At 38.4% G+C, this 11,209-nt stretch overlaps 1 pseudogene; it reads left to right on the top strand.

Annotated features, from left to right (window-relative positions):
- RNU6-939P (RNA, U6 small nuclear 939, pseudogene) lies at positions 6,276-6,382 on the top strand (annotated as a pseudogene).

Genomic DNA, 11,209 nt, shown 5'->3' with positions numbered 1-11,209 from the left:
TAGAATTTCCATACATCTGCAGAATGTATGTATGTTGAAACTCATTGTGCAACACTTGCTGACATCAAGGCACCAAAATGCCTACAAATTTAACCATTTATCATGACCTATGTGGCTAATAGGGTCCAAATTACCATTAAACTCCCGCTTTAAGGTTCATAAACACGCCTAAGGGAAAATCCACCACAATTCCTCCCTTGCTGAGGTGCCCTGCTGCATTCTTTTGCAGCTTTCTTTCTATCTAGTAAAACTTTCCTTTTCAAACCTATACTGTTGTCAGTAAATTCTTCTCACCAATCTGCAAGTCAACCACCTTCCAATGCCGGAGCTCTGGCACCTAGCCCAGCAAAAGACAAAGACTCACACACAAAATTCATTCTTTACAGCTCACAGAATAGACAGCACTGATCTACACAGTACCTAAACTGCCTATGATGTGAAGTTACAAACAACTGATCGTTACAGGAAGCATCCATGCATATAATGTTTAAGTCTGTATATTTATAGAGGCATACATGTTGACATTTTATTCAAAAAATTTCATCTATGTTTAATTTTTCCATCTTGTGGGATCAGATAAGATAAAGCACCAATTTCATATATATATATATTTTTTTTTTTTTGAGACAGTTTCTTGCTCTGTCACCCAGGCTGTAGCATAGTGCTACACCCAGCACCCAGACTGCTGCACGATCTTGGCTCAGCGCAACCTCCGCCTCCAGGATTCAAGTGATTCTCACACATTAGCCTCTTGAGCAGCTGGGACTACAGGTGTGCGTGCAACACCACACCAAGCTAATTTTTGTATTTTTAGTAGAGACAGGGTTTCACCATGTTAGCCAGGCTGATCTCGATCTCCTAACTTCAAGCAATCCACCCACCTTGGCCTCCCAAAGTGCTGAAATTACAGGTATGAGCCACCGCACCCGGCCTTCTGCAACATATTAATGATAGAACATGAAAGGTAAAAAGCTGTTAGTTCAAGAATTTTTCATTCAGAGTTACTAAATTTTTATGGTGTAGGTTAAAAATATGATCAGAGATGTTAAGTGTGTCAATAATGTGTTTTTAAGACCTAATTCTATAAATAAGTATGATGAGAGATATTATTATTGTTATTATCCTCATTGTTAATGATAAAAAAGTTAAGGTACAAGGTTAAGTCATCTGTTCAAAGCCATGCAAAGCTGATTCATTTGCAGGCAGTGTACTTTTACTCTACCCTACAGGCTTTTATAGTTTCAGAGGAGAAAATTTAAGTAGCTATTAAAATCTAACTTTCAATAAGCTGAGGAAAGCTTTTACTGAAGTTAAAATCAGATACCATTGAAAGTATTTTATCTCTAGATTTTAAGTACAATATTCATTTTTGTATTTTTGTCTCCTTTAATCATATATCTAATATCATATCTATTAGTAGAAGGGGGAAAGGGAAATTTTTTTCAAAAAAATTAAATGCCAAAATGTAAACTAATATAACCTAAAGTCAAGACGAAGCCACTCAGTTGTCTTTTGCTCTGGGGTCATTTGTGGATTTTCTGCAGTGTTATATTCTACTTATCCATGTTTTAAAGATATGAAATTGTGATATTTTCCTACTGATCAGGCTACACAGACTGTTATCAGACAACTGAAAAAGCATCCTTTCTCTCAATCTTATAATGTTAATTGTGCTTGTTAATTAGTCTCTTTCTGGCTTTTCATGAAAGAACAGTCATTCTAAGAGTAATTTTCAAGTCTTACCAAACAAACAACACGAAAAAGTTTGCTTTTAAGACTCAGCTTAGGCCCATCAGTGTCAAGTAAGAGGAAGAAAGGCTCTAAAACCTCTTTCCACAGGGTCCAAAATAGAACATTAATTAAGCAAATAAAAATGACACATTCACAGAAAATAGCAACAGTTATTTAAAAAACAAGTTGGCTATGCCACACATAGCTATTAACAATAATAACAGTAGAAAGTTGCAACGTAACACCATAACTCAAATTCGGCCCTAAAACTACATATGCTCCTATAAATATCTAACTTTTGCTTAAATTTAGAATGAATTTATGCTGTTCGTTTTATTTTTATACGTGAAAACATTCACAAAGTATTTTGAATGTTTTAGTAATACTTAGTACAGATTGTGATCATAAAAAATCCTTTCAACACTACGGTTCACATATATGCTATTGTTCAGATTATAGTAAATTAGATGAACTAATCCATCCTCAATTTTAATGTTTGGGAAAGCATTTCAACAGAGCTCATGATTAGTAGCACCAGGCCAAGAGTATATCTAAATTTCCCTAAAAAAGAAGATTAAATTACTTAGCATAGAATTTTAGTAAGACTAATCCCCTTCTGTTACTGCCCAAACCTTGATCTTTTATGGTCTTCCCTCAGTAAATCACATACCTATTATGCAGAACACTAAAGTTTGAATTTACAGCTCTGTGAGAAAGGAAAAGAGATTAATTGCCTTTTATAATATCTTTGTTTCGTCCTCCAAAAAATTTCCTTCTAACAGTGTTAGATCTGTATTACAATCAGGAAGAAGCACAGTAGTAATTTTAGAAAGGGGACCAAAAGGAAATTTCATAAGCAAAAAGGAGGGGCCATAAGAGAACTGTACATCTTCATTCCACTCTGAGGCAAAATGGTCTTCTCTTGATTCTATTCTTTGATTAGAGAAAATGACCATCAATTAGAGAAACAAACTAATGTCTCAGACAGGAAATAAATGACATTAAAGACAAAGCCATAGGCCAGGCATGGTGGCTTACACCTGTAATCCCAGAACTTTGGGAGACCGAGGCAGGCGGATCATTTGAGGTCAGGAGTTCAAGACCAGCGTGGCTAAAATGGTGAGACCCCCGTCTCTTCCAAAAATATAAAAATTAGCCGGGTGTAATGGCGCATGCCTATAATCCCATCTACTCAGGAGGCTGAGGCAGGAGAATCATTTGAACCTGGGAGACGGAGGCTGTAGTGAGCGAAGATCGTGCCACTGCATTCTAGCCTGGGCTACAGAGCGAGACTCCATCTCAAAAAAAAAAAAAAGATTGAGCCATAGATAAAGAATGCAGTAACAATTATTATTCAGGATTTTTTTTTTTTTTTTGAGACGGAGTTTCGCTCTTGTTGCCCAGGCTGGAGTACAATGGCACAATCTCAGCTCACCACAACCTCCGCCTCCCAGGTTCCAGCGATTCTTCTGCCTCAGCCTCCCGAGTAGCTAGGATTACAGGCATGCGCCACCACACCCAGCTAATTTTGTATTTTTAGTAGAGATGGGGTTTCTCCATGTTGGTCAGGCTGGTCTCGAACTCCTGACCTCAGATGATCCTCTGTCTCGGCCTCCCAAAGTGCTGGGATTATAGGTGTGAGCCACTGTGCCTGGCCTATTCGTGATTTTTAGAGACTGAAAATATGAGGGAAACCTGGTAAAGTGGATAGACAATAGCCTAATTATAAAACTTCTCTGTGTGCTACAATTACATGTTAATCTTTATTCAATTATGCAGATAGCTACAGAATACTATTATTTTATAGTACACACATGCACACATCTTTAGCATATCCTTTGCAGGTGTAAAAAAATTATGATAATATAATCCTTAAATGGCAGGCACCTGGTAGTATAGTAAGTTCTTGAAAAATGTTGTGTCTAAAAACACATACCTTATGATTATAAAACCTAGTGCCTGCCACAAATATGGAGAAATATTTGATTCATTACAGTATGTAATGTACAGCCTAACCAGTAGGCTAACGACAAGCAGACAATGATCTTCCCTTGACCCTGATATCTCCTTTAATTATTACTCTTTCCCTTCACTTCCATTTTTTAATGTAATCTACACCATTAGTTCCCAAATGCCAGTTCCATATTAATGCCTGTCCATGATTATGCTTGCTCAGTTTGTTGCAAAAGGAGAACATTTTTTAAAATGTTGTTAATAAGGCAATTATATTTAATCAAAGTCTGATCTTTGATCTTACATTCTTCCTCCATATTTGGGAATAATCAGTTGTAGGTTCTTGGGTTTGTCTTTTATTGTCTTGCTCTCTTGTTGTTTCATTGTGGTAAAATACATACAACATAAAATTTGCCATCTTAACATTAAATACATTCAGTTCATTAAACACATTTACATTTTTCTGCAACCATCACTACAATCCACCTCTAGAATTATTTTCATGTTGCAAAACTGAAACTGCACCCATTAAACAATACCTCTACATTCTCTCTTCCCCCCAGCCTCTAGCAACCACCATTCTTCTTTCTGTCTCTGTGAATTTGACTATTCTAAGGACATACCTCACATAAGTGGAATTATACAGTATTTGTCTTTCTGAAACTGTCTTATTTCACTTAACATAATGTCTTGAAGGTTCACCCATGGTATAGCATGTCTCAGAATTTCCTTCCTTTTTAAGGCTGAATAATATTCTGTTTTATGTGTATACCACATTTTGCTTATCCACCCATCTGTTGATGGACACTTGGGTTGCTTCCACCTTTTGGCTATTCCTAATAATGCTTCTATGGAGATTTGTGTATAAATATCTCTTCAAGACCCTGCCTTCGATTCTTTTAGATATACACCCAGAAGTAGAATTGCCGAATCATATGGTAACCTTACTTTGAATTTTTTGAGGAATCACCATAGCAGCTGCACCATTTCACATTCCCACCAACAGTGCCTAAGAGTTTCAATCTCCCTACATCTTTGCTAACACCTGTTGTTTTCTGTCTTTTTTTCACAGTAGCTATCCTTATGAATGTGAGGAGATATCTCACTGTGGTTTTGATTTGCATTTCCCTAATGATTAGTGATGCTGAAGTGTTGCTTTGCTTCAGTGTTCTTAATTGGTAAAACAAGAAGTTGGCAACTTGCTTAGTCTCCATTTTTAAACAAATTTATGGGTTATTGATATCTGAAAATCTGAAAATCACCAGCGTACTCTCTATGTCCTCTTCTCATCTAAAAATTACCCCATCAATTCACTGCAGTCTGGCTTTGGCCCTCAATCTTCTCCTGACTTCTCTCATCAGAATTAACAAACTAACTTGTAATTGCCAAATAGAACGGACCTTCTTCAGTCTGTATGTAATTAGTGGAAAGTGCAGAGTCTCTGGGGCCAAACCTAAAGTCCCGCTTCCTTCAGCGGAGTAGGATCTCAACAAATGTAATTCCTGCTCCTGGACTTCCCTAAGGGAAATTTCATCCCTTCCCATAGTTTCATTCTCTACCCTATGCAATGATTCCCAAACCTCTAACACTCAACCATGTCAGTGGAGCATTAATACTGTTCAAGGCACTCTGCAATGGATATATGGATAAATTAACTATGGCTTCGGCGCTCCAGAAGCATGTGGTTTAGTAAGATAAATAGTTGCGCAATACAGTGTCACAGGTGCTATGAAGGAACATGCCAGGAGCACAAAGAAAGGAATAATGATTCCCATATGACCTGGAGTGGACAGGGAAGGTCTTACAGAGGAGAAACTTGAAGTGAATGAATATTGGAAGTACTTATCAGGTAGCAGAGGGGAGACAGCTATCACCACATGTATCAATTCTTAAAATTAACAGAAGAGAATATTTGAGGTAGGAAACCTTAGAACATCATTTCAGTGGACCAGGTGAGGGCTATTTAAGGCCTGAACTAGGAGACAGTGGAAAAGAAGAAAAGAGATACCATACAAGAAACATAATGGTATGAAATTGATGGGACTTGGTCACCAATTAGATCTAGAGAACAAGGGAAAAGAGTTTAGGCTGACTTAGTGGGTTCTGTCTTGGATAAATAGACGGTGGTACCATGCACTAAGATTGGAAATATAGGAAGAGGAACAGGTTACAAGGAAAAGATGAGTTCAATTAGGGACACTTGGAATTTGTGGTCTTTCTGTGGGACACTCAGGTGCTTATAGAAAGATCAAGGAGAGAGATGCAGATCTGTAAGACAGACATCGAAGCCCTATGTAGCAGATGCATTAGGTGCCCTGCCAGTATCCCTCCATACTCACCATTCCCATGCATGCCCTTTCAGGGGCTTCCAACAGCAAGCATCTGGGAGTCTTTGCCTGAGGGCTCCCGGCAGAACCCACTGGGTGGGCCTGCCAACTCCGAGACTAATGGTGTTAACAGGGAGTGTCTGCTAATAGATTTCTTTTTGGAGGTTATGAAGATGTTCTGAAATTACATAGTGGAGATGTGGCACAACTTTGTGAATACACTAAAAACCCAGCCAATTCTACACTTTTAGAAGGTGAATTTTAGTGCTTACTTCGACAGCACATATATTACAATTGGAATGATATAGAGAAGACTAGCCTGGCCCCTGTGCAAGGATGACATGCAAATTTGTGAAGTGTTCCATATTAAAATTATAAAAAATAAAATAATAAATAATAAATAAAAGGTGAATTGTATAGTTTTTGATTTATGTCTCCACTTGTAACAATTGTGTGAGAAAAAATACATACGCTATGGCTCAGCCCAACTGAAGTATTTCGTCCACAAGTACGCCCAATGTCTTCACATCTGTGTGCCTTTGCTTGCTCTATTGCTTCCACCTAGAATTTCGAATTTCTCTTTTCTCCCACTCCTCTCCCCCATGTTTCCTAATCCTATTCTTTCTTCCAGGCCCAGCAAAAGTCCTCCTTTTCTGTTCAGTCTTCCCCAGGTCAGGGATTTATCTTGTACTTCCCTGACATCTTCTAACCCTTTATTTTGTTTCCTGCTTTTTTTTCTTTTTTAACTCTCTTCTCCGTATTATAGATTTTCACATAGCTTAGCTAATAAATTTCAGATTCCTGAGAACAGGAGGTGTTTTACCTATAGATCCTATCAAATGTCTTGCACATGGTAGCCTCTCAAAAATGTTTAGTGAATCAATACATCAAGGACTATAAAATCTCGAGGGGAGTCTAGGAAAAAAACCAAGCAACCTAATTAAAATCAATTCACCTTCAGCTAAATTAGCCATCATCATTTAAAGAACATTAAAGGAAACAATTTAAAATCTAGGGGAATATGGTCAGAATTCTTTCTGGAAATACTTAAGGTTTTGAAATTTGAGGTGTCATGATAAGAGTACAAATTATAGTAAAATGTTCAGGTCATTATATTCTGAGTAACTATATTAAAAATAAACAAATATAAATCTATTTAGTGATTTTACCCTTACTATAGAATACTTCAAGCTGTTAGTACAGAAAATGCCATAGTGACAGCTTCTGGTCACTTGAGGACCTGTGCAGTAAGATCTTCCTCTGATGATGTAAAGAGGAACTCATTCTATGACCATAGAAATTCCTGTTCCTTTTCAGTTCTTTATTATCTTTCTAAATTTCCCTCCATAGAATCAAGCTTAGCAACTTTTCTTTCTCTGTGCTGCCAAAGGACAGGAGGAGATACAGAGATGTGAAAAGCTCTAATTCTTTAGCATGAATAACAATATTAATAGTTAACCCTTATTGACCATTCTCTGTGTGCCAGGCTTTTTAAAAAGTGTTTTTCATGTATTATCTCATTTAATCCTTATAATAATTCATGGAAGAAGAATTATTATCATCGTAGTTAACTGACGACAAAGAGACTGAGGCACATAGAGGCTAATTTGCCCCTGGTCACACAGCTTGTTAAATGGTGGAATCCTGGTGTATAACCAGGCAGATGATATTATGTGCATAATAACATTACATTTATTTATTTATTCATTTATTTATTTCTCACAACAGCACTGTGAGGTAATTACTCCCCCCTCATTTTACATGTAAGGGAATCAATTTTTAGTGAGATTAAGTAGCTCAAAACTACTAAATGGTAGAGCCCAGATTGTACTCTGTCTTTGAAATCACATCCCAACCCTTTTCTTCTAACTGATTCCTCTGGGCTGGTGTAGTTTGCACGCTCCAGGAAAGGAGTCCCAACTCCTCTGTTTTGGTCAGCCCTGGTAAGAGTTTTTTTGTTTGTTTATTTGTTTGTTTGTTTGTTTGTTTTGAGACAGGGTCTCCCTCTGTCGCCCAGGCTGGAGTGTAGAGACGCGATCCCAGCTTACTGCAACCTCCGCATCCCAAATTCAAGCAATTCTCCTGCCTCAGCCTCCTGAGTAGCTGAGATTACAGGCGCGGGCCACCATGCCCGGCTAATTTTTGTATTTCTAGTAGATACAGGGTTTCACCACGTTGGCCAGGCTGGTCTCGAACTCTTAGGCTCAAGACCCCTGGGCTCAAGGGATTCGCCCACCTCAGTCTCCCAAAGTGCTGGGATTCCAGGCGTGAGTTGCCACGCCTGGCTGGATAATTAACTTTAATACTGGCTTCCTATTCAGGTCTGTAGCATCTTTGTTCTCTTCCTCTGTTGGCTTTTTAAAAATGTTATAACCAATTTACAGTATTTTAAGAGTTTGTTTGTTTGTTTTTGTTGTTGTTGTTTGAGAAAGAGTCTTGCTCTGTTGCCCAGGCTGGAGTGCAGTGGCATGATCTGGCTCACTGCAACCTCCGCCTCCCGGATTCAAGCCATTCTCCTATCTCAGCCTCCTCAGTAGCTGGGACTACAGGAGCGTGCTACCGCATCCAGCTAATGTTTTATTTTTATTTTTATTATTTTTTTTGAGACGGTGTCTCACTCTTGTTGCCCAGGCTGGAGTGCAATGGCGCGATCTCTGCTGACTGCAACCTCCGCCTCCAGGGTTCAAGCGATTCTCCTGCCTCAGCCTTCCGACTAGCTGGAATTACAGGCGCTCGCCACCACGCCCGGCTAGTTTTTTGTATTTTTAGTAGAGACAGGGTTTCGCCATGTTGACCAGGCTGGTCTCGAAATCCTGACCTCAGGTGATCCGCCCGCCTTGGCCTCCCAAAGTGCTGGGATTACAGGCGTCAGCCAACGCGCCCAGCCCGCATCCAACTAATTTTTGTATAAAAGAGACCTTTAAAATTAATACTCAGTTGAATAAAATCTGGAATAAAAGCAATAATCCATAACTCAAGGGAAATTAATGTTAATTCCATTTTAAAATCGATGAGCAGATTTATGTATTACCTACTCTTTCCTGGAGAAACTTATTTTGCAGTCACAAAGATAAACAGACATTATTGGAAGTGGTTAAGGTAATTGGTTTTTTACCACAAATTATCTGAATATTCATTTTTGTTTTTGCAACAGGGTCTCACTCTGTCGCCTAGTGGCACAATCTTAGCTCATTGCAACCTCTGCCTCCCGGGTTCAAGCAATCCTCCTGATCCTCCCACCTCAGACTCCGGAGTAGCTGGGATTACAGGCGCGTGCCACAACGTCCAGCTAATCTTTTTTTTTTTTTTTTTCGTATTTTTAGTAGAGACAGGGTTTGCCATGTTGGCCAGGCTGGTCTTGAACTCCTGACCTCAAGTGATCTGCCCACCTTGGCCTCCCAAAGTGCTGGAATTATAGGCATAAGCCACCACACCTTGCCTGAATATAAACTTTTAAGAACTGCATATAAAATCCTAGGTGAAACATATGCAGTAACCACTCCCTTTAGTTACCAGATTTTCCTAATCTTTTTAGTCAAGCCATCCTTATCACACCTCTCTTTGATTATATACTATGTTGTAAATATATATACAGACATATATTTACAGATACCATGCAAGAAACATGATGGTATGAAATTGATGGGACTTGATCACCAATTAGATTTGGAGAACAAGGGAAAGGAGTTTAGGCTGACCAAGTAGTTTCTGTCTTCAATGACTAGATGGTGGCACTATGCACTAAGACTGGAAATATAGGAAATATATATGGAGATATATGAACATAGTAATATAACCAAGTGTAAAATTATATAAAGCTAAATATAAGTGCAAATAAAGGAAAGAGAGGAGTTATATGGAATACAGAAAGTTACATTAAAAACGAATGAATGTGCCTGGCCCAGAGCTGGTGTTCAATAAGCAATAGATATTATTAATAACCTTTATACCCAAGCAGAAGAATTTGGACGTGGTAAGGTAGGTGATAAGGAATGACTGCAGAGTTTATCATGTGGTACTTTAGGACTACTAGACTAACTACTATCATCAAGACATATTGAAAAAATTCTCTGATTTAATCAACATTTATTGAGCACTATGCTAAATGATGAATAAATTTAAAAAACGGCCGGGTACAGTGGCTCACGCTTGTAATCCCAGCACTTTGGGAGACTGAGGCTGGTGAATCACTTGAGGACAGGAGTTGGAGACCAGCCTGGACAACATAGTGAAACCCTGTCTCTACTAATAAATAAAATAAATAAATAAATAAATAAAAGATCTGGTCTTCTTCAAGTTCAGAAAAGGGAAGGGCAGATAGCGATCCCAGGAGGATGTGATAAACACTCAGTCCACAATAAAATGTGATGAGCCACATGAGAATTATCTCTCAAGGGCTATCAGAACACAGAACAATTATTGATAGCCTGCAAATCAGACAAGACAGTTCCAAGGATATAACAGTTTGAGCTAGTCTAGGACACCAACTTAAAGTCTGTTGTGGTAATCCAGATGTGAGATATGGACTAGGATAACGGCAGTGGAAACTGAGACAGGACATTTTGAGAACTATATCATCACGTATGTCTCTGCTGATAAAGAAATAGATCCTAAAGCATTTTCTCCCATAACTATTTTACTAACTCTATATTGATACCCAAATGCTTTATTGAATTTTTCAGCTGTGTTTCAAGGTCATGGAAAAAGACACAATCACAAAATAATTTTCCAGTGACCACATTCTATAAATTAAAACCAGCTGCAGTTTTAAAATGATGACAATTTCCTCTAGCTGGAAATTGTCATCAATTTCCCTAGTGAAAAAATTCACTGATTTAATCAACATTTATTGAGCACTGTGCTAAACGATGAATAAATAAAAATAAGGGCCATGCGCAGTGGCTCATGCCTGTAATCCCAGCACTTTGGGAGACTGCGGCGGGCAGATCATTTTTTCCCCCTGCATTTAGGTTTCTAAATCAGATGTCTCTGTTATCTCAAGTCACAAGAGTGTTGACTTTCTTTGCTTGCATTAGGTAACATATTTGAATGGCTATGTTGTGTGTCATTAAGTACAAGGAGCCCAATAATGCGGGACAAGCTCTCCAACTGCAGCCATAGAAGAGCAATATTGTAAGCTCGTTTTCATAAAACACCAGCAAGAAGAAAAATCCTTTCCATTTTGAGCATTCAGATTA

This window comes from Homo sapiens, chromosome 2 (genome assembly GCF_000001405.40).
Source record: "Homo sapiens chromosome 2, GRCh38.p14 Primary Assembly".
NCBI classification, from domain to species: domain Eukaryota; kingdom Metazoa; phylum Chordata; class Mammalia; order Primates; family Hominidae; genus Homo; species Homo sapiens.
Note: the sequence above shows the minus strand (reverse complement) of the source record. Positions and strands in the feature narration are given on the sequence as shown.